The sequence below is a fragment of the Homo sapiens genome, chromosome 14 (assembly GCF_000001405.40).
Source record: "Homo sapiens chromosome 14, GRCh38.p14 Primary Assembly".
Classification (NCBI taxonomy): domain Eukaryota; kingdom Metazoa; phylum Chordata; class Mammalia; order Primates; family Hominidae; genus Homo; species Homo sapiens.
This window is the reverse complement of record NC_000014.9, coordinates 20,811,472-20,835,422: the sequence shown is the minus strand read 5'-3', so window position 1 is coordinate 20,835,422 and position 23,951 is coordinate 20,811,472. Positions and strand designations below refer to the sequence as shown.

At 45.1% G+C, this 23,951-nt stretch overlaps 6 annotated features.

Annotated features, from left to right (window-relative positions):
- Nucleotides 6,164–7,363: an enhancer, noted in NCBI's record as "BRD4-independent group 4 enhancer chr14:21296219-21297418 (GRCh37/hg19 assembly coordinates)". NCBI's record gives its function as "activates an origin of replication core promoter dependent on BRD2, P300/CBP, MED14 and CDK7 cofactors, and independent of BRD4, by STARR-seq in HCT116 cells {active_cell/tissue: HCT116}" and the evidence as "EXISTENCE:reporter gene assay evidence [ECO:0000049][PMID:35650434]".
- Nucleotides 8,587–8,787: a silencer, noted in NCBI's record as "peak2113 fragment used in MPRA reporter construct". NCBI's record gives its function as "represses an SCP1 promoter by STARR-seq MPRAs in K562 erythroleukemia cells {active_cell/tissue: K562}" and the evidence as "EXISTENCE:reporter gene assay evidence [ECO:0000049][PMID:32103011]".
- Nucleotides 13,399–13,693: an enhancer, noted in NCBI's record as "tiled region #4676; K562 Activating DNase matched - State 5:Enh". NCBI's record gives its function as "activates a minimal TATA promoter and a strong SV40 promoter by Sharpr-MPRA in K562 cells {active_cell/tissue: K562}" and the evidence as "EXISTENCE:reporter gene assay evidence [ECO:0000049][PMID:27701403]".
- Nucleotides 14,504–15,087: a transcriptional cis regulatory region, noted in NCBI's record as "candidate enhancer chr14.61 targeted for multiplex CRISPR interference". NCBI's record gives its function as "positively regulates RNASE1 gene expression with high confidence in K562 cells {active_cell/tissue: K562}" and the evidence as "EXISTENCE:mutant phenotype evidence [ECO:0000015][PMID:30612741]".
- Nucleotides 14,639–14,933: an enhancer, noted in NCBI's record as "tiled region #8185; HepG2 Activating non-DNase unmatched - State 22:ReprW, and K562 Activating DNase unmatched - State 5:Enh". NCBI's record gives its function as "activates a minimal TATA promoter and a strong SV40 promoter by Sharpr-MPRA in HepG2 and K562 cells {active_cell/tissue: HepG2 | K562}" and the evidence as "EXISTENCE:reporter gene assay evidence [ECO:0000049][PMID:27701403]".
- Nucleotides 21,154–21,654: an enhancer, noted in NCBI's record as "H3K27ac hESC enhancer chr14:21281928-21282428 (GRCh37/hg19 assembly coordinates)". NCBI's record gives its function as "activates a minimal SCP1, AML or CMV promoter by ChIP-STARR-seq in naive H9 embryonic stem cells {active_cell/tissue: H9 hESC(naive)}" and the evidence as "EXISTENCE:reporter gene assay evidence [ECO:0000049][PMID:30033119]".

The following is a 23,951-nucleotide window of genomic DNA, read 5'->3' as shown; positions in this document are numbered from 1 at the left end:
TCTTTGTCTTCTCAGCTGCCATCTTCCCAGATGGCATCACCTCCAAACGTACCCACTTCCCTTCCTACACCCCGCCCCCCTTCTCAGGTCAACTCTAGCATTGCCTGTACCCATTCTCTTTCCTCACTGCCCTCTCTTGAGGCCTATAAACCCATCCCATCACCTTAAGCCCCTATCTATCCTCCACTGCCTATCAACTCAACCCCCCTTCCCCCTTCAAACCCTCAGCAGGAACCAACCACTTCTGGCTTCTTCCTTCTCTCCCACCCATACTTGCTTGGGTATCATCTTTGGCCCATGTCCCAACCTTACTTCAGCGCCAGTGCTAGAGTGCCCCCCTCGGGAAGTAGCAGGAGCTAAAGGTATTGTTAAAATTCATGTTCCCTTCTCCCTCACTGATCATTCTCAAATTAACAAAAGACTCATTTCCAGAAGACCCTACCTCTTATATTAGGAAGTTTCAGTACCTTACCCAGTCTTATAAACTAGCTTGGCATGACCTCTACATTACCCTCTCTTCCACCCTCACCCCAGAAAACCAAGACCATATCTGGGCCCTAGCTCAGGCACATGCTGATACACTTAATGACTGGGCTGCCCAACCCACTGGTACAAAGGCAGTCCTCAGCCAGGACCCCCACTAGGATTATCAAGATGGGGCCCCTGGACGCTGCTGTCAAGACCGTATAATTGTGTGTCTCCTTGCAGGACTCAAGACGCAGTCAACTATGAAAAACTTTCAGAAATCACCTAAGGTCCTGACGAAAACCCAGCCCTTTTTCTCTCTCGTTTAACTGAAGCCAGGAGAAAGTATACCAACCTAGATCCAGCCAACCTAGAAGGAACCACTATTTTAAACCTTCACTTCATCTCCCAATCCACCCTGATATTCAGTGCAAGCTTCAGAAGCTTGATGACGGCCCTCAAACCCCACAAGACCTTCTTAATTTAGCCTTCAAAGTCTTTAACAATCATAATGAGGAAAGTAAAAGGCAAAAAACAGGCACAGTTTCAAATGCTTGCCTCCGCCATCAGGGGCCCTGCAGGCCCACGGGGCTGCAGCTCCACATGGAGGCCTCCTAGCAATCCACCTCCACCTCGTGCCTATTTCAAGTGTGGCAATGAAAGCCACCGGTCCAGACAATGCCCAAACCCAGGTAAGCCCACCAGGCCATGCCCCCTCTGCAGAGGACCCCACTGGAAGTTGGACTGTGAGCAGCCCCCGCAAGGACTGCCCCCATCCCTTCCTGAGCCGACCAAAACCTCCTACTGGGATCTCATCGGCCTTGCTGCTGAAGACTGACGGTGCCCTGGAATGGACGCCCTGGCAACTACCATCGCTTCATCTGAGCCAAGGGTAACCCTGATGGTGGCAGGTAGGACAGTATGTTTTTTTTTTTATTAATACCGGGCAACCTACCCTACTTTACCTAAATTTTCAGGACCCACCCAGCCCTCCCAAGTCTCTGTTGTAGGAATTGATGAAGAAGTCTCCAAACCCCGAGCCCCCCTCCACTGTTCCGCTCCCTGAACACCTTTTCCTTCACTCACTCTTTCTTAGTCCTGCCCTCTTGCCCAACTCCACTCCTAGGCAGAGACATCCTTTCAAAACTCCACACTACTCTCCACCTCCACGTTCTCCATGGTACCCAACGCATCAACCCAGACCCCTCCGGAGCTTCTAACTTTCTTCTACTCCTCCAACCTCCCATATTAAAACATGCAACTTTTCCTTATCCCCCAACCGTAGTTAACCCTGCTGTTTAGGATACTTCCACACCCTCAGTCGCAGAACACCACAGCCCCGTCCACGTTACCCTTAAGGAGCCCAGTTCCTATCACAGAAGCAGTATCCCATCCCCCTAACAGCTCTCATAGGCCTAAAGCCTATCATTTCTCACCTCCTTGCCTGTCACCTACTCCGCCCAACAGACCCCCCTTTTAACACACCAGTTCTACCTGTTAAAAAGCCAGATGGAACTTAATCACGCAGTCCAGGACCTCAGGCTCATTAACCAAGCTGTACTCCCAGTATGTCCAGCAGTTCCTAACCCATACACTTTACTTTCCTCAGTTCCCTCCAATACCACCCATTTTTCTCTTCTAAACCTAAAGGTTGCTTTTTTTCACAATTCCTTTACACCCTGATTCCCAAAACCTCTTTGCCTTTATGTGGGAAAACCCCGACACCCACCTTTCACGTCAGCTCACCTGGTGCGTGCTACCTCAAGGTTTCAGAGACAGCCCCCACCTTTTTAGACTGGCCCTTGCTCGCAATCTCTGTACCTTATCCCTAAAACGGGCCACTGTCCTTCAATATGCTAATGATCTGCTCCTGGGTAGCCCCTCTCAAAAAAAAACTGCAACACCCATACTATCTCTCTTTTAAACTTCCTGGCAGAACGAAGGTATCAAGTCTCCCCTAAGAAAGCACAGATATGCACCCCTTCAGTCACCTACCTAAGTTTAGCCCTTGCCCCAGAAACCCGAAGGCTCACAACCAATGGCATATCCCTCCTCCGGTCCCTCCCACCTCCACAAACTAAGCAAGAAATTCTCTCTTTTCTAGGACTAGCAGGATATTTTAGCCTCGAGGTTCCCTCCTTCACTCTACTTGACAAACGGTTATACCAAGCCGCTAAAGGCCCCCTCCGTGAGCCTTTAAACCCTGCACAGCCTATTACCCAACCTTTCTGTCTACTCCAGAAGGCTCTCACCTCAGCCCCCGTCCTCACTTGCCCAGACACAGACCTCACCAAACCTTTTTCCCTCTACACCGATGAATGGCATGGAGTTGCACTGGGTGTTCTAACCCAGCCTAAAGGACCCACCCTCCAGGTTGTTGCCATCTCTCTAAACAGCTTGAAGCCACAGTTCTTGGATGGCCTGCCTGTCTCCAAGCATTGGTGGCAGCTGCTGTCCTCACCCTTAAAAGCCTAAAACTATCTCTCCATGCCAACCTAACAGTTTGTTCAACCCAAAACATCAAAGATATTCTAGCTCAGTGTACTAAGTCTCATCTCTGCCCCACAGCTCCTCCAACTATATGCTCTATTCATAGAAACTCCCCACATCACCGTACTAACCAGCTCCCATCTAAACCCAGCCACGCTCTGTCCCTGTCCTTGTTCTCTCCTCTTTACTCCTCAAAAGAAAAGGAGGACTTCCAGGCCCAAAACCTTCAAAAGCAAGGACCATGGTATGTCAAGGAAGGGCGCTTCATTCTTCCTCACTCTCAAATAATCCCTATCCTCCAAGGTCTCCACAACCCTTTCCATGTCAGTTACAAACTTCTCTTACAACTTCTCCACCCTATTCTCTCTTGTCCTCACCTTTCCAGCCATGTTAAAAAAAATCATCCAGTCCTGCTCTATCTGCCACTCAGTGTCACCCCAGGGCTCCCTCTGGCCACTGCCTTTTCCTACCCACCAAGCCCAGGGCCAGGTACTCGGGCAAGATTGGCAAGTAGACTTCACTCACATCGCCACCCGATAAATGGCTCCGCTATCTCCTAGTCTTTGTCTGTACTTTCTCTGGGTAAGTAGAAGTGTTCCCAACAAGTTCAGAAGGTACAAATGTCATCACACAAACTCTCATCATGCATATAATTCCCCATTTTGGATTCCCAACATCCATCCAGTTCGACAATGGGCCCACTTTAAAGCCAAGTTACTCAAGGCATTTCTACATCCTTAGGAATAAAATGGGTTCTCCACACACCTTACAGGCCTCAATCTTCAGGCAAAGTTTAAAAAGTCAACTCTGTCCTTAAAGCTCAACTCAGCAAGCTAGCTCTTGAAACCCATCAGTCATGGACAAGAAATCTCCCTTTCACCCTCATGAGACTCCACACAACACCAAAAGCACCCTCTTTTTATAGTCCCTTCAAAATCATGTATGGCTGAAATTTTGTCTTAAGGCCTCCATCCTTACCAGACTTGGAGCCACTCAAGAATTACCTCCCTTCCTTAATCCAGACACGGTCTTTCATTCGTAAAGCAGCAAATAAGGCCATGCCTCTCCCTGTCAACAATTCCTTGTCCTCTCAACATAACTGTCTTGCAGGCACAGATGTGTCTCCAGACAATGCAGACAGTGCTCCTGCTACAATGACACAGTAGATACCAACCCATCTTTCAAGAATACCCCCGAAAATTAAAGTTTTCTTTTCTCAGGGTGCTCTCACCACCCACTGTGTCGCGCCTGAAGTAGTTATTGAGAAAGTAATCCCTTTTCCCTTTTTTCTATAACCAAATAGACAGGAATATGAGATTCTCCCTGAGGCCCGAAAGCTTGAAGGGATGAGTAACTCCTCCCTTCTCAGGCCCAGTCCCAAGGCGCAAGGCTGCTTGCTTCAGCAGCGTGTGCCAGCAAGATAGGAGAAGCAGGAAGAGAGCTGGCTGGAAGACACGTACCCTGAAGATCGAGAAAGAGGCCATCCGGGTACTACGTAGCGGTCACATCAAACTGGGACACTTCCTGTTTATAGGAGACCATAAAACCCCTGCCTCTTCCTCAGTTTGGTGCTGACACCATTTTAGGCCTCAGCCCGCCTGCACCCAGGCGCTCATTAAAACAGCATGTTGCTCCACACCACTTCAAGTTGTCTGTTGGCACGTTCTCAGGGTTTGAACTGATACAAGAACCTTACATAAAAAATGGCTATGAAATAAAAGATAAATAGTAAGATAAAGTCCCAGAAAAGGACACGTTAAAAACCTTTCTCCTGTTGCACACTTTGAGAGGAGGGATGTCTACACAAATCAGGACAAATGTAGAACCTTAAGATGAGTTAGCCTTTTTCTGAGGATGATGTGTTCCTGGGACTCCCTAATCACTTTAAAGAACTAGAAAATACACTGGGCATGGTGGCATGTGCCTGGAATCCCAGGTACTTGGGAGGCTGAGGCAGGAGTATCGCTTGAGCCCAGGAGTTTGAGACCAGCCGGGGCTACATACTGAGACCCTGTCTCTTTAAAAAAAAATAGCAATTGGTAAATAAAATCTGTTAATCTGGTGTTACTTGTAGTATTTTTATCAAAGGAGGTACCCCAGAGAATGTAACTCACATGAAGTATCATCACTACAATCTAGTCTGACCCAGAATACAATTTCAGACACCATTACTAAGCTATTATCTCCCCCAAACAGAGAGACAATGAAAATCTAGGCTGATCAAACTATAGCTATCGCCATGTTTAATTGTCTGATTCATCGTTTACCTTGGACTTCAGATCTATACTGTTGTACTAATAGGTAAACTTCAATTTAATTTAAGAAAAATGTGTTTACCCACTCTGTTCCTAGAACTATATTTGATTCATGGGGGGAGTACATAGGTAAGTGTAAGACTCAATGCTTGTGTTCATAGGTAAGTGTAAGACTCAATTCTTGTGTTCATTGCCATACAATTAGTTATATGTCAAGTAAGGGTAAAAGTTTATTTTCAATTCAAGAGATTATGCCCAGTAAGAGCCCCCCACCAAGATAAGAAAGATGCATTAGAATACATCTATATTGTCTTGTTCTCACTGGCCATGAATCATTCATTATGTAAGATCTTTGTGTATCTGAAACCTATTTTCAGTCTTTCTCCCATTAAACATTGCAGCTTCTACTTCTAGTATCACAGAGTCCTGCAAGATTCTGGGAAGACATTCAGAACCTCTTCTGCTGTGAGAGGACACACGAAAGAAATGAGCTCACCTTTCACTCAGTAGAGAACTCTTTGGTAGCTAGAACCTTGGTCAGATCTTTTTCCCCAAACACAGCACACAAGCAGCCCTATGGATTTGGGGGATTTGCTTGTCTTTTTCACTTGAGTTCAGAGAATTATGGAACAAATGAATTTTAAGAGAATTTAGAGATCTATACTAACAGCCTCATTTTAAAATCTTTTTATTCCCTCTTTTGTTTTACACACGAGGTAAAGTAAATTGGTGAAAGTAAATTTCTTTTTTTTTGAGACAGAGTCTCACCCTATTGCCCAGGCTGAAGTGCAGTGGTGCGATTTTGGCTCAATGCAAACTCTGCCTCCCAGGTTCAAGAGATTCTCCAGTCTCAGCCTCCTGAGTAGCTGGGATTACAGGTGCCCACCACCATGTCTGGCTAATTTTTGTAATTTTAGTACAGACGGGGTTTCACCATGTTGGCCAGGCTGGTCTCGAACTCCTAACCTCAGGTGATCCAAAGTGCTGGGATTACAGGCATAAGCCACCATGCCTATGAAAGTAAATTTCAACACTGGCTGAACATCTAGATTACTAGGAGAGATCTGAACATCATGATTAGCAGGTCTACCCCACACTAACTATCTCAGGAAACTCTGGTGGTGGGATCCAGGCATCAGTAGTTTATTTGACTTTTTAAATTTAATTAATTAATTAATTAATTTTTTTCTCGCTCTTGTCACCCAGGCTGGAGTGCAATGGTGCGATCTTGGCTCACTGAAACCTCTGCCTCCTGGGTTCAAGTGATTCTTCTGCCTCAGCCTCCAGAGTAGCTGGGATTACAGGCACCTGCCACCATGCCCGGCTAATGTTTTGTATTTTTAGTAGAGAGGGTGTTAGATATGAGTTCTAAATTTATCTTCAAAAAATCAATATGTCAGTATGTTCAATTGCCTTCTACTTTTAAACTTAACTTCCTCGTAAAGCAACCTTCTTCGATTAACTGCTCCACCCTGACTCATTCCAATTACCTGCTCCACCCTGACTCATTCAGATTACCTGCTCATTCTCCACCCTGACTCATTCAGATTACCTGCTCATTCTCCACCCTGACTCATTCAGATTACCTGCTCATTCTCCACCCTGACTCATTCAGATTACCTGCTCATTCTCCACCCTGACTCATTCCAATTTCCTGCTTTGCCATAACCATTTTTTCCCACCAAACCACTCACCCTGTCACTCTCTTTAAATTAGCCAGTCAGAATTAGTTTAGCCTGTGCCGTCTAACCCTAGCCAATAGGGGAAAGACACAGCAGCAGGGGCCACGTGTGTCTGGGACAAGAACCCCTTCCCCTCCCTTGTCCAAATGTGCACTCACTATTGCTCCATCTGTAAGGGTGCACCCTTCTGTAGAAAGTACATTGCCTTGCTGAGAATTAAAAAAAAAATTTTACATTCGAGTGCTATTTCTTTTGCGGCACCGAAACTTTATTAACAATTTGGGGTTTTGCCAGTGATTACATTCCCCTCCGGGGGGCGGGCTCTGGTTCTCTCTCATGAGAAGGCATGCCCCGCCCCCTTGTGGTGGCCTCAGAGGTGAGAAATCAGGACCCACCCAGTGTGGGACCCACCCAGTGTGAGGAGTAACCGGCGCTCTCAGCAACGCAGAAAGAAACTGGCTAGCAACCTGACTTAAAGGATTCTCACATACTGCAGTGATGACTGTGCGTAGACCAGGGAAGGAGAAGCCGCAGGAGCCGGTAAAGTACTTCCTTGGTGGTCAAATTCTGGAGGGCTAAATGTGTGTGTATGAATGATCACAAACAACCCTACTTGCCGTGTCGTTCGTGTGGATTATGACAAGTCCTACTGCTGGATGGAGTGAGTGGGTCCTCTCCGCGGTTCTGTAAGCCTCCTGTGGCTTAGGGCAGATCCTTCTGTGGGATTTATACCAGTGAGCCAACACTAAGAGGGGCCTAATTCTCCCTTTGGGGAGCAGCCAGAGAGGACAACATGAGTGGGAAGTGTGCAAGGGACCTTCAGAGGGGGAAAGGGAGGAAACAGGTCAACCTTCCAGAGCAGCAAGGCAAGACACCCCTGGTTTAAGGGGTTGAGCCTTCTGCAAATTTCAGGGGGTTGAACCTCATACAAACCTCTGGTAGTAAGAAAAACATTCAGAACTCCCCTTTCCTTTCCCCTCGGGGGAAGAAAGAGTAGTTCCACTCCCGCTGGTCCCTCCCCTAGGGGAAAGGGAAGGGGAAGGAGAGGGGAGAATGGCAGCATAAGCAGCTGGCAGAGGCAGGGAAAGACCAGCAAAGAGGAAAGAGAAACGGGGAGAGGAGGTCAGAGAGAAAGAGACAGAGAGTCAAAGAGAGAGAGAAAGAGAAAGACAAAGAGGGAGTCAAAGAGAAAGAGACAGAGTCAAAGAGAGAGAGAGAGAAGTAGTAAAGAGAAAAGAGTGTATTATATTTGTTTAAAAGCCAGGGTAAATTTAAAACCTATAATTAGTAATTGAAGGTCTTCTCCGTGACCCTATAACGCTCCAATACCACCTTGTTGTCAGTGTAAACAAGGGTATAGCCTGAAAGCACTAAGGCCACTGACAACCCGTAGCCTTCCTAATCAAAAATCCTTAACCCAGTAACCTGTGGATGGCCCAAATGCATTCAATCTGTAGTGGCAACTTCTTTGCTAACAGAAGAAAGTAGAAAAATAACTTCTAGAGAAAACCTCACTGTGAGCAAACCTCATCAGGTCAGAACTATCCTAAGTCCAAAAAAAAAAAAAAAAAAAAAAAAGGCAAAAAGGTAGCTTACTGACTCAAGAACCTTAAAGTGTGAGGCTATTCTGTAGAAAAAGATGACTCAACATTAACCACTGAAAATTCCCTTAACCCAGCAGGTTTCCTAACAGGGGATCTAAATCTTAATTACCATACAAAGGTCTGACCAGACCTAGGAGGAACTCCCTTCAGGACAGGACCATAGATGGTTGCTCCCGGTGATTGAGGGAAAAAGACACAATGGGTATTCACTAAGTGACAAGGAAATTCTTCTAGAAGCAGAGTTAGGAAAATTGCCTAATAATTGGTCTGCTCAAACGTGCAAGCTGTTTGCACTCAGCCAAGCCTTAAAGTACTTACAAATCAGGAAGGAGCCATCTATACAATTCTAAGTTAATATGGACTGAATGAGGTCTTATTAATGGCAAAGAATACTTGAAATCCCAAACTTAAAAGGTTTTCAATAAAAGTAAAGTCTGATAAAAGTTAGCAGTGTATGTATTATCCTAACTTCTAACCTTGTGGCCTTAGACAGTCTAGTCCACAGACAGGAAGGAAGTTCGCTTTGGAAAAGAATGGTTATCATCTTTGAGAAAAAAAAAGGGGGTGGGGAGAATTTATGAAAAGGAATGTTACATGGTAAATTCTTGTCCTAAGATAAATTAACTGATTGTTTAAAGAAAGGGATGTTTGCAACAAGTCAAAAAGTTGAGGCATGTTGAAGAATTGTCTGTGAAAGTCATGAAAAAAAAAGGTGTAAAAGGGAGTTTATGCAAGAAATGTTGTATAATTTAAAAGTAATTAGGCCTCCTGAATGTAAAACTATTGAAGAAACAGTTTATGTGCAAGGTGTGTAAGGAAAGTAAGATATACCTTTGGTAAAAGTATTATAAGGAGGCATAAGAATGTGGATTTTTACCTATATTAAAAGGTTAAAAAAATATATCTGGTTATAAAGGTTTAAGCAAGTTCTGAAACATTAATTGTAAAGGAAATTCTGTGTGTAAGCATATTGGCTAAAGTTAAAGGGGTATAATCTAGTTTTTCTGTGAACTGGACATTAATATAAAAGCACAACAGGTTTTTCTTAAAGCACTAACCTGCTCTTTAACCAAAATTATAGAAGGTTAAAAAGAGTCTATAAAAATCTTACATTACGGTCAGACATTAAGAATTAGATAAATATGTCTACAAGATTTTATTAAAATTAAGTTTAACATTAATAACACACTAATATAAAGGTGAAATTTAGCTTACGTGGTATAAAAGTCATACAGGAAGCATTGTCAAATATAAAATGGTATTTGGCTTTCTTTGGTCTAAAAACTAATAAAAATAGGTGCTAAAGGAAATTTCTCAGTAAGAAGGCACCAAGGACTCTAAAGTCCACTGCTGATGTTCCCACATTTAAAACAAAAGATCGATTTCTTAGAAATTTTATACTTGGTTTATCTTCCACTTTCCTTGCCCTCAAAACTAAAAGTCTTTTAGCACAGGTACCACCCCTAGAATTTCCGGTAAACCAGCACCAGCCTGAGGATCACGTTCTCATCAAAGGGTGGAAAGAAGGAAAACTCGAGCCAGCCTGGGAAGGACCCTACCTTGTGCTGCTAACCACCGAGACTGCTGTTCATACAGCGGAAAGGGGATGGACTCATCACACCCTAGTCAAGAAAGCACCACCCCCTCCAGAGTCGTGGGCCATAGTCCCAGAGGAAAACCCTACCAAACTAAAGCTAAGAAAAATTTAACTCTCTTTCATCTATTCTATTACTCTTTCTTCTTTCCTCACTCTATTGCTGACCATCTAGTTATTAACATAACCAAGTCAATTTCGCCTCAAGCTATTGCATTAGATGCTTGCCTTGTTATACCCTGTGGGGATTGGCCAAGTCAAAGACAGCTCTGTACTTCAGAAAAGTACCTCTGTCCCTCCTGACTCTCCTCAGACTGGGCATTAGTGAACTGGGACCATTTAATCTGGGGAGATTTTGATAAAGACCCCAATGTCAACCAGGAGTCTTGCCCCCCGATGTAGAGCTTTTATGCCGTAGTTGGTCCAACGTTCTGTGGACCACTAAAGAGCAAGGATAGACTGTCCCAACTGGTTTTTGTAATTTCCTAAAACCATACATTCGTTTTACTAGAGGGACAGCCCTGCCACCCAACTGTCAGGTAAACCAGTGCCATCCTCTACAGGTTATTATCTCAAACCCTCAAAGTTCTTCCACTTTTCTAAGCTGGTTCCCTTCTTTAAGTCAGTTTTATGGTATGGGGGCTGAGGTTTCAGGGACAGACCCTACTGGATTCTTTGCAATGTGTTTCTTTGATCCCCCACCACCTGCACCTTCCTCTAAGCCTTCTTCCAAACCCTCTCACAGTGGAACAATTGCTCCTCCTCCATCTAATGACAAGACCAAGATAGCTATCATAGAAGTTAAAGACTTAAAACAAACTGGCAATTAAGACGGGATACCAAGATGCAAATGCCTGGTTGGAATGGATCAAATATTCCATCTGCACGTTAAACAAAAGCAATTGTTATGCTTGTGTGCACGGCAGGCCAGAGGCCCAGATTGTCCCCTTTCCACTAGGGTGGTCCTCCAGTCAACCAGGCATGGGCTGCATGGTAGCTCTTTTCCAGGATTCTACAGCCTGGAGTAACAAGTCATGCCATGCTCTCTCTCTCTGCTATATCCTGAAGTCTGGCACCCTGTGGGTCAGCCCCCGAGGGCCATCCCCTCGGGGATGTTGGGAGTGTTTCATCTCCCAACACTAAGTTCACTTAGTGTCTCTCATGACAGGGAGGAAACTTAGCGTTCCTTGGAGACCTGAAGGGATGCAGTGAGTTTAAGACTTTCCAAGAGCTTACAAATCAGTCAGCCTTTGTTCATCCCTTAGCGGATGTGTGGTGGTATTGTGGACCTTTACCGGAAGCTCTGCCAAATAACTGGAGTGGCACTTGTGCTTTAGTACAATTGGCTATCCTTTTCACCCTGGCATTTCATCAATCGGAGGAAGGAAAAATAAGACATTGTAAAGCAAGAGAAGCCACTTACGGGTCTTTCGACTCACATCTATTTAAATGCAATTGGAATCCCATGGGGAATACCAGATCAATTTAAAACCTGAAATCAAAGAGCTGCAGGATTTGAGTCAATATTTTGGTGGGGGACAATTAATAAAAATGTAGATTGGATAAACTACATCTACTACAACCAACAGCAATTTATTAACTACACTAGAGTTGCTGTTAAAGGAATAGCTGAGCAATTAGAGGCTACTAGCCAGATGGCTTGGGAAAATAGGATAGCCTTAGACATATTAGCAGAATGAAGAGGAATTTGCATCATGATTAAAACTCAATGTTGTACCTTCATCCCAAACAACACCGCCCCTGATGGAAGTACAACAAAGGCATTGCAAGGTCTGACTGCTGTGTCCAATGAGTTAGCCAACAACTCAGGGGTAAATGACCCCTTTATAGGAGGGCTAGAAAAGTGGTTCAGTAAATGGAAAAGGATAATAGCCTCAATTCTTACTTCCCTCACAGCCGTAATGGGTGTACTTATTCTTGTCGGGTGCTGTGTCACACCATGCATCCATGGGTTGGTGCAGAGGCTCATAAAAATGGCACTCACTAAAACCTCCCTTAACTATCCTCCACCTTATCCAGAGAAGCTTCTTCCTTTGGAAAATCAAGCAAAACAACTAAGCCGAGACATGTTAAAGAATTTTGAAGAGAAAAAACTGTAAGGAAATATAAGAGGAGGGGTTGTTAGATATGAGTTCTAAATTTCTCTTCAAAGAATCAGTATGTCAGTATGTTCGTATGTTCAATTCTTTGCCTTCTACTTTTAACTTCCTCGTAAAGCAACCTTTTTCGATTACCTGCTCCACCCTGACTCATTCCAATTACCTGCTCCACCCTGACTCATTCCGATTACTTCCTCTGCCATAACCATTTTCCCCACCAAACCACTCACCCTGTCACTCTCTTTAAATTAGCCAGTCGGAATTAGTTTAGCCTGTGCGTTCTAACCCTAGCCAATAGAGGAACGACACAGCAGCAGGGGCCACATGCGTCAGGGATAAGAACCCCTTTCCCTCCCTTGTCCAAGTGTGTGCTCACCATTGCTCCATCTGTAAGGGTGCACCCTTCTATAGAAGTACATTGCCTTGCTGAGAATTAAAAAGAACATTTTATATTCGAGTGCTATTTCTTTTGTGGCACCAAAACTTTATTTATAACTAGGGGTTTCACCATGTTGGCCAGGCTGGTCTCAAACTCCTGACCTCAAGTGTTCTGCCCGCCTTGGCCTCCCAAAGTGCCGGGATTACACACGTAAGCCACTGTACCTGGCTGGCATTGGTAGTTTTTAAGAGCTTCCAAAAAGATTTATCGAAAAGTCTCATCAAGTTATAAGTAGCAGAGCTGGGGAAAAAACACACTTTTTTTCCCTGACCTTTTATATTACCTGAGCTATATTTATTACACCACTTCTCTGTTTTTGAAAATTCACCTTTCTACAGTAGCAGTCATTAATTGTTGCCTTTTTATTGGAGAGCTAGGCTTCTCATTTATTCTTTTTCAGATGATATTGTACACATCATGACACCTTTCTGAAACCACCTTTGCAAAATTATGACCGAGACAGTGAAACAGATCTAACCTAACTAACTCTATCTTGCTTTTAAGCTTTAAGCTGTCCTTGTTCATTCCCGGGGTAGGCTGAACTAACTTTGGGAGAAACTTGCTTTATGGTTTGTAGTTTAAAACAAAGACAATAACAACCCTTTCCTAAAGCAGACCTCCTTCTTGCCTGGGGACTAGATTCACTTTGTAGGACTAACATTAGCCACAATATTAGAAATTATGGTTTAGGAGTCATGCAGCTGGAGGCTACAAGATTCTGACCCTCCCTAAACTCCTCCTAAGATCAGTGCTTGAGATATTTTGCTGACCCTGCACTTGATGGATCAGCTGGCACCACCCAGATTGATAAACTGGCTCATCTGATCTTGTGTCCCCCACCCAGGAACTGACTCAGTGCAAGAGGACAGCTTCAGTTCCCTATGGTCTTGTTTCCTAACTGACCAGTCAGCACTCCTGGCTCACTGGCTTCCCCCCACCCACCAAGTTGTCAGTAAAAACTCTGCTTCCCTGAATGCTTGGGGAGACTGATTTGAGTAATAATAAAACTCCGGTCTCCCACACAGCCGGCTCTGTGTGAATTACTCTTCCTCCATTGCAATTCCCCTGTCTTGATAAACTGGCTCTGTCTAGGCTGTGGGCAAGGTGAAACCACTGGGTAGTTACATTCCTCCTTCATGAAAAACACATTCCATTTCTTCCACAACCACCTTTTGATTCTGCACCATGTCTAATATTTTTTGTATAGTATTTTCTTTGTTTCTAGTCAGTTAATCTTCTGTGACTCCGTAGCCTTCTACAATGAGACATTAATTTACTTGACATGTATTAATTGGAGACCAACTGTATACATGGCACATGATCAGGAGATATGTGTGAATAAAACACCCTTTCTGTTCTTGAAAACAGTGTAATTTGGGAGACTGAGAAGAAAGAATTCCCACTGAATGTGAGACATGGTATAATAAAGTGTGAAATGCTGTGGAATCACAGATAAAAGAGCAGGCAAGGGCACGCTATTGTTTGACACAGAAGAAAAAATGGTCTCTTGCTCTCCTATTAGAAGTGAAATACCTTTTTTTTTTTTGAGACAGAGTCTTGCTCTTGTTGCCCAGGCTGGAGTGCAACAGCACGATCTCAGCTCACTGCAACCTCCACCTCCCTGTTTCAAGCGATTCTCCTGCCTCAGCCTCCCTGGACCTGGGATTACAGGCTCCCGCCACCATGCCTGGCTAATTTTTGTATTTTTAGTAGAGACGGGGTTTTGCCATATTGGCCGGGCTGGTCTCAAACTCCTGACCTCGTGATCTGCCCGCCTCGGCCTCTCAAAGTGCTGGTATTACAGGCGTGAGCCACCTCGCTGAAATACCACTTTTATAGAAGGCAATTGACATTATCTAAAGCCTTATCAAAAGTCCATGTTCTCTAAACACATCTAGGAATATATGCCAAGGAAGTAATTGGGCAAGGTGTAGTGGATGCGGTGGTGCATGTCCCAGTTCCCCCACTTCAGGAACACGGCACTCATTCCCTCCACTGACTAGTGATGGTGATGAACAGCTAGCTCTCAGCTGAGTCTCTTTCTCTCTGGGAATAGCCCTTTGTGTTGACAGAGGAGAAAAGAAAAAACCCAGTCAGGCAGGCAGTTAGGGTGGGTCCTTGGTTTAATCCTTTCAAACAAAACAACAGCCTGCAGGCACAGATACAGGAATTTGCATAGGGGCTTGCCTAAGACACGCCCACAAACATGAGAAGGGCGACCCAGGTGACTTGCTTAGACATGCCTGCAATGGAAAATTCCGTCCCCTGACACACGTGCAATAAGGGGCCCGCACGCACATTAGGAAGACACGGTGGGGCTACGACACATTCACCCCTTATGCAAAGGAGACTCCCAGCCCTCATGGGTTTTCTATAAAAGCCTTTGCATTCAACTGTAGAAACAACAGTCCTCTTCCAGGTCCCCTCTCTGCAGCGGAGAGCTTTCTTCTTTCGCTTATTAAACTTTCACTCCAACCTCACCCTTGGTGTCCAGGATCCTTAACTTTCTTGGTCATGAGACAAAGAACTTAGGATGATGCCTTGGGCAGCGAGAGACTACTACATTGTGGTGCATTGGCAAGAGTGTAACAGTGGCAGAGAACCATCCTGCTAAAAGTGAAGCCTCCTCCCCAAGGGCAGTCAACATCTAATAAATGGTAACGGGATATAAAGGCTTGGTCCCTTTACCTTAATTCAGAACAACTCTGAAGGTCAATCTAGCTCTAAAGAAAGCTAGAATACCTGTGGGATTGGCCAAGGCCTTTGTTGTGACTGCATCAAAATCCTACCTCTTCTGCCCGATAATGCTTCCTTCACTCCCTCTGCAGATATTGCCCCAAGATTGCTGTGCAGTAAACTTTTTTTTTTTTTTTTTTTTTTTTTGAGACGGAGTCTCGCTCTGTCGCCTAGGCTGGAGTGCAGTGGAGCGATCTCGGCTCACTGCAAGCTCCACCTCTCGGGTTCACGCCATTCTCCCTCCTGTCTCAGCCTCCTGAGTAGCTGGGACTACAGCCACCCGCCACCACGCCCGGCTAATTTTTTTGTATTTTTAGTAGAGATGGGGTTTCACCGTGTTAGCCAGGATGGTCTCCATCTCCTGACCTGGTGATCCGCCCGCCTCAGCCTCCCAAAGTGCTGGGATCACCGGCATGAGCCACCGCGCCCGGCCTGCAGTAAACATCTTAAATGCACATCTTAATCTCAGTGTTTATTTTTGTAGAGAATCTGCCCTATGACACAAGAGTATAAATGCAGACATAGAAGAGTTTTTATTGAAGGCAGTGTACATGTAACAAGTTGTAAATCTTATAAATGTCCCCAAATACAGAATTTGTTTAATGAATTATGATATATCCATAACATGAAATACTATAGAGCCATTTAGAGTAATATAGATATATGTTGACTTGGAATATATAGGATGGAATTTTTTGTGTGTGTGTGTGACAAGGTCTTACTCTCTCGCCCAGGCTGGAATGCAGTGGTTTGATCATGGCTCACTGCAGCTTCACCCTTTTGGGTTCCAGCCATCCTCCCACCTCAGCCTCCTGAGTAGTTGGGACCACTAATTTAATTTTTTTTTTTTTTTAAGTAGAGACAAGGTCTCACTATACTGCGCAGGCAGGTCTTGAGTAGCTGGGACCACAGGTGTGAGCCACCATGCCCGGCTAATTTTTTAAATTTTTAGTAGGGACGAGGTCTCCCTCTATTGGCCAGGCTGGTCTCGAACTCCTGGGCTCCAGCAATCCACTTGCTTCCGTCTCCCAAAATGTTGGGATTACCGGCGTGAGCCACCAAGCCCAGCCTAGGATATGTTTTTAAATAAACTTAAAAAAATTGAAATATACACACAGAAAAAACATAATTACATAGCTCAATAAGTTAGCTCAAAGCAAACAGATCTGTGTTCACCACTATCCAGGTTAAGAAATTACATATTACTAGGACCCCAGATGCATTTGAAGAGAAAAAGCAGAATCTGAAGCAGTGTTACAGTACTTCATATTTTATAAAATCTTACACATAGACAAAAGTGTGGAGAATTACACCCTAAAATGTTAATAATGTTGTAGGTGATGAAAATACAAGTAGTATATTTCTATTAATTTAGCAGGAATTAAAAAAGATACAAAAGATACAAAATTATCTTTTTCAATATTCCATATCTAGGTCACTTGGTAACTTAGAGAAATATATACTGCAACTTCCTAATGAATATTTATTAACTGCTGACTTGTTCCCAAAATTCATTAATTAGCACCCTCTAATTCTGTATTGTAAGCTCCATTACTGGATTTATCTGTAATTTTGGGGTCTCTGTTAATACTATATTCCTGAAGCTTTCTATTTAACTCAGTGAATTGATGATGGAACCACAGACAGACCAAAGTTGCTTTTTCCTACTATAGAAATCAACATAGAATGAATTTATACATTAAATTACAGCACTTACTCTTCATGCTGCCTTAGCTTTACAATAAAAGCTTTAAATTCCTGTAAGTGTGAATACACTGTGGCATTTAGTTTCTTCATAGAAAGATAAAACTTTGTGAATTGTATTTAGTGTGAACATACACAAAATCCATACTGGGGTAAAAATCCATTTTTTTGCTGGTCTTTCACAGGAATTTAGGAGTATGGGGGAAGGGGTATAGGTGAGAACTTTGTCTCTTTCTGTGTATCTGTGTTTCTGCACTAAGGTGTGGGGTTTGTTTTTTCAGTTAGACCAAAGGCAATTGATGAATACACTCACAAAAGTAACTCTGGCTCTGTGAGAAGCATAAAAGTCTTAAGAAACTAGATTTCCTATTAAGATCCAACCTTTCTTCCTTAGAGATATTGAGGGGAAGATCTTTAGAAGGAGATAACATTAAAAAACAGACGGGCCAGGCGTGGTGGCTTACTCCTGTAATCCCACCCAGCACTTTGGGAGGCCAAGACAGGCAGATCACCTGAGGTCAGGAGTTGAAAACCAGCCTGGCCAACATGGTGAAACCCTGTCTCTACCAAAAATACAAAAATTAGCTGGGTGTGATGGCAGGCACTTGTAATCCCAGTTACTTGGGAGGCTGAGGCAGGAGAATCTCTTGAACCTGGGAGGCAGAGGTTGCAGTGAGCTGAGATTGTGGCACTGCACTTCAGCCTGGGCGACAGAGTGAGACTCCGTCTCAAAAGAAAAACAATAACAACAACAAAAAACAAACAAAACTCAATGTTTTAACTGGGAGCCATCTTAGAGATTGTTGTTCTTTACTCTTTAGGGGATAATACTAAGACACAGGGAGGTCACAAGACTTGACCTCAGTCACCAAGTGACCTACTGGCAAAGGCATCAAGACCCAGCTTGTGGAGGGGGCTGGGTTATGTGTGGGGCTTGTAGAAAACAAATCCCACACCTTAGTGCAGAAACACAGATACCCACACTTTTCCTCACATGTGTATGTGCTAAGTAGGATACCCGCTTCTGCTCACATAAAACAACCAGAGCTCTGCTGAGGTCTGCTTTTTAGCATCTGTATGAGAGATATAAATAGGTAAAAGAAAAAGAAAAATAGGAAGTAGAGTTGAGTTTGGGGCAGAACCAGAATGGCAGAGAGAGGTTGAAGATTGGCCCTTCTCCATTTTTTGGGATCTTTCTCTCTCGTCTCTCTCTCCTTCTCTCTCTCTCTCTGTCTCTCTGGGTGTCTCTCTCTGTCTCTCTTTCTGGCTATCTCTCTGTCTGTCTCTCTCTGTCTCTTTCTCTCTCTCTCCTGCAAGGAGCTGCTCTCCTCTCTCCTTTCTTCCGTTTGGACCTCTGTGAGGTGTGTGTGTGTGTGTGTGTGTGTGTTTCTGTCTCTCTCTCTCTCTCTCTCTCTCTCTCTCTCTCTCTCTTGCAAGAAGCTGCTCTCCTCTGTCCTTTCCTCTGTTTGGACCTCTTTCTCTGTGTGTGTGTGTGTCTGTCTGTCTTTCTGTCTCTATCTCTCTGTGTCTCGCTCTTTTTCTCTCTCTCTCAAAAAAAAAAAAAAAAAAAAAAAAAGATTGGCTGTTCTGGAGAAGTGACAACTGTCAGGCCTCTAAGCCCAAGCTAAACCATCATATGCCCTGTGACCTGCACGTATACATCCAGATGGCCTGAAACAACTGAAGATCCACAAAAGAAGTGAAAATAGCCTTAACTGATGACATTCCACCATTGTGATTTGTTTCTGCCCCACCCTAACTGATAGATGTACTTTGTAATCTCCCCCACCCTTAAGAAGGTATTCTTTTCAAGGTCCTGTTTCACTTGCCTCCATAGCCATTGTGGATATTGACGGCCAGGCTGCTAAACCTCTTAAAACTCCCCAACTCTGGTGCCAACTTGGACAACATTCTTTTATGCACTCCTTTTAAGTTATCCCCACCTGCCCACCTCCCTTATTATGTCGAGACTTTTTAACTAAATTATCTGCTTCCCTGACTATTCCTGGGCTACAGCCACACCTCATTGCCACCCTTTTCCCCAGTTCAAAGCCTCCTTCGCATCCTTCCCCTTGTATCTCTCCACCTTAATCCACAAGTATGGGATACCTCTACTCCCTCCTTGGCAACCGATCATGCACCCCTTGTCATCCCATTAAAACCTAATCACCCTTACCCTGCTCAACACCAGTATCCCATCCCACAGCAGGCTTTAAAAGGATTAAAGCCTGTTATCAGTTGCTTGTTACAGCATGGCCTTTTATACAGGTTAGTTCAGGATTTGCACCTTATCAACCAAATTGTCTTGCCTATCCACCCCGTGGTGCCAAACCCATATACTCTCCTACCCTCAATACCTCCCAGCCTCACAGGCCCATTCTATTCTGTCGTTGTTTCATAACCCCTTCCATGTAGGTTACAAGCCACTAGCCCGCCTCTTAGAACCTCTCATTTCCTTTCCATTGTGGAAATCTATCCTCAAGGAAATCACTTCTCAGTGTTCCATCTTCTATTCTACTACTCCTCAGGGATTATTCAGGCCCCCTCCCTTCCCTACACACCAAGCTCGGGGATTTGCCCCTGCCCAGGACTGGCAAATTGACTTTACTCACATGCCCCGAGTCAGGAAACTAGAAAACCTCTTGGTCTGGGTAGACACTTTCACTGGATGGGTAGAGACCTTTCCCACAGGGTCTGAGAAGGCCACCGCAGTCATTTCTTCCCTTCTGTCAGACACAATTCCTCGGTTTGGCCTTCCCACCTCTATACAGTCCGATAACGGACCAGCCTTTATTAGTCAAATCACCCAAGCAGTTTCTCAGGCTCTTGGTATTCAGTGGAAACTTCATAACCCTTACCATCCTCAATCTTCAGGAAAGGTAGAACGGACTAATGGTCTTTTCAAAACACACCTCGCCAAGCTCAGCCTCCAACTTAGCAAAAAGGACTCTGTCAAAAATAGAGCCCAAAAATTCACCAACCAAACAAGTAATTACACTGAACCTCCTTGGACACTCTCTAATTGGACGTCCTGGGTCCTCCCAATTCTTAGTCCTTTAATACCTGTTTTTCTCCTTCTCTTATTCAGACCTTGTGTCTTTTGTTTGGTTTCTCAATTCATACAAAACCGCAACCAGGCCATCACCAATAATTCTATACAACAAATGCTCCTTCTAACAACCCCACAATATCACCCCTTACCCCAAAATCTTTCTTCAGTTAAATCTCTCCCGCTGTAGGTTCCCACACCACCCCTAGTTCCGCTCGACGCAGCCCTGAGAAACATCGCCCATTATCTCTCCATACCACCCCCCAAAATTTTTGCCGCCCCAACACTTCACCACTAGTTTGTTTTGTTTTTCTTATTAATATAAGAAGACAGGAATGTCAGGCCTCTGAGCCCAAGCTAAGCCATCATACCCCCGTGACCTACAGGTATACATCCAGGTGGCCTGAAGCAACTGAAGATCCACAAAAGAAGTGAAAATAGCCTTAACTGATGGCATTCCACCATTGTGATTTGTCTCTGCCCCACCCTGACTGATCAATGTACTTTGTAACCTCCCCACCCTTAAGAAGGTTCTTTGTAATCTCCCCACCCTTGAGAATGTACTTCGTGAGATCCACTCCCTGCCCTCAAAACATCGCTCCTAACTCCACCGCCTATCCCAAAACCTGTAAGAACCGATGATAATCCCATCACCCTTTGCTGACTCCTTTTTCAGACTCAGCCCACCTGCACCCAGGTGAAATAAACAGCCTTGTTGCTCACATAAAGCCTGTTGGTGGACTCCCTTCATACAGACGTGTGTGACACGAACCATGTTCAGTGGGCAGGAATTCAGCCAGATTGGATTGGAGTGATGGAAGCAGGTCAGACAATGGGTCAGAAGGCTGAATTTAGTGACAGATAACAGGCTCCATTTAAGCAAATGTGAGTCTTGTTCTCTAAATGAGATAACACTGGCCTCTCTTCACCTTGATAGACCTGATAGGCTCCCCCATCCATGTGCTTTGTCCCTTGGCAATATGTCCTCCTATGGGAAAAGAGGTACTGTCATGCCATTGTGAGAGTCCTCAAGATTAACAGAAGGAGGAGGCAGGAGATGGCAGATGTGAAAGGAAACATTGCTTTCTTTTTCTTTTTTTTTCTTTTTTTTTTTTTTTGAGATAGAGTCTCACTCTATCACCTAGGCTGGAGTGCAGTGGCATGATCTCAGATCACTGCAACCTCCACCCCCTGGGTTCAAGCAATTCTCCTGCCTCGGCCTCCCTAGAGGCTGGGATTACAGACATGTGCTCCCACGCCCGGCTTATTTTGGTATTTTTAGTAGAGACAGGGTTTCGCCATGTTGGCCAGGCTGGTCTCTAACTCCTGACCTCAAGTGATCTGCCCACCTGGGCCTCCCAAAGTGCTAGGATTACAGGCATGCACCACTGCGCCCAGCCAGAAACATTTCTAAGCAATGATTTTCCTCCAGACCTTGCTTCCTTGATGAAGCCAGCATGTGAGACCTCTTCAAAGAGAGGGAGGCTACTGCTTGGAGCAGGTGTCCTCCTAGAGGCCTCGTCCCCCTAAGAAGGCTTCCCTTCCTCCAGTGTCGCATTGGAATCAACAAATGCCCCCATGGACTGAAGAGCGGGAGGCCTGACCTGCTCACCCACACTCCAGCTGCGCCAGTGAAGGGCCCCTAATGAGACCTCAGTAGGAGTCCCCAATCCTCCAACTCCTCAGAAGGGGTCAGCAGCAAAGCCATCTGTTTTCTCCCACCACAATTCCCAGCAGGAAGAGATGTGGGGGGACTCTAGGGGAAATCCAGACCTAAAAGAAGAGATCAGTTTCACCATAAGTTCAGCCCTTTGAGTGCACATCCTGGAGGCAGTCTCCCCACTTGAAGCATACTTGCCAGCATGGTATAGTGAGAATGCTGCCACAGAGTGGGGAAGCCAGGGACCGAGGATGCTTTCCACCTCTGCTGCCAAGGTGCTGTCTGACCTTGGTCTGCCCCGGCTCTCAGTCTCCTCCAATGGGCGGAAGTTACTTTCCATTGCTTGGGTCTTTTTGTTCCTTGAGTTCAAAGGTAAATGTCCATATTTTCTTTCACGTGGGAGTCCTGGTCAAAAGTTCATACTTTGACGACCTCAGCAATAAGCTCTTAGAGGGGCTGGGGCAGGTGGGCTGTCCCTTAGGGAAGGGATGAGAGGCACTGGTGCCTGATCTAGAGGTGAATGGTGGTGTTGGGTTGAGTCAGGGATAGGAAAAGTTCTCAGAAAATGGATGAAGTCAAGAGACCACTGAACAACCCAGGCTGAAAGGGAATCAGGTCTTCTGTAATCAGGAACCAGAGATAACGAAGTCTCTATCTTTCTATAGACACCCTGGCAACATTTGATTTCCATTTTAAAAGACCAGGGCTGGTCTGTGGGGTGGGAAGGGACCTATGGAGAGTGAGGAAAACTGGTAGTGTCAGGAGGCTGGGATGGTGGCACCAGAGGAGGTGGAGGCCCCCTGTGTGTTCTGGAGACCAGATTGTTGACTGCACCTGGTGTGCTCACAGGCCAGTCAGAGCCACTGTCTGGGAAAGTAGAACCTGTGCTTGGTGGGCCTCAGCCAAGGGCTCAGGCATCAGAACCTCTTTCTCTCCCAGTTCATACTGTGGGGTGGGGGTGGGGTGGGATTGGGGGTGGGAGTGGAAGCCTAATGGACAGAGAGGTGGAGAGTCTTATAAAAGGGGAATAAACACAGGAATGATAGCCAGCACAGCCACGGTTGCCTTTTCCCCTTCAGTAATTGGTTTGTCACATGAGGCAAAACGTTGCAATGTGGACGGGAGACAGAAATTAGGAAAAACTTGCATAATGTTTCACTGGGGAGGGGGTTTCTCAGTTGAGGCCCATAAATGCTTAGTTTTGGATTGGGCTTGAGGGGCTATACTGTCTCCTAAGAGACTCTTTAGCCCATAGGATCATAAAATCTCCCAAGCTCCTGCAGTTCAAATTGACCTTTGCTCCAGTCAGGAAAACTGTGTAGATTGGGACGGGGGCAGATGTGTTTCCTGAGAGAACATGGGAGGGGTGGGCCTTCCCACAGCCTGTCTCTGAGGAGGTTCCTTGGGGCCCTGAGCCCTTGGGTGTGGTGTAGCTCTAACCGTCTAGGGCTGCCTTTGGCTTTAGGAGGATTTCAGGGATTCATTTCCAGGCACTCTGTGAAAAGGGCAAAAATGTACTTCCCTTCATATCCTCACCGAAGCCTGGCAGCAGGCCAGTCACTGGTGCGGTTTCCTGACATGACTGTGGTCTGGGGAGACCACCTTGAACTCTGAAGTTTGTCCTCCCTTCAAAAATTCAAACTTGGGACCTGGATAGCCCAGTCATGCTCAGTGACAGAGAAGTTGGCATTTTGGGAAAAGTACTAAGAAATCTGATGTCTTCACTGCAGAGTCACTTTCTAAGGAGGAGACTCAGGCTCCCAAGAACATGAGGTAGGCCAGTTGCACTCATACCTTCTGGAGCCCACCAGACTCCAGCTCCTTGTTTCTCACCTTCCTGCAATTGGATGTTTCCCCCTCACACCATTCCTTCGCACTCAGGCTTATCACAAGTTTCTGCAAAGAGATTTTGGGGAGCCAGCAGATGCTCTCCCGAAGAAAATGATTCAGCTATATCCACCCTCACTGAGTGAAGTCCTTTTAAATAGGAGCTACATTTTTTTTTTTTTTTGAGACAGTGTCGCTCTGTCACCCAGGCTGGAGTGTAGTGGTGTGATTTCGGCTCACTGCAACTTCTGCCTCCCCAGTTCAAGCGATTCTCCTGCCTCAGCCTCCTGAGTTGCTGGGATTACAGGCATGCACCACTATGCCTG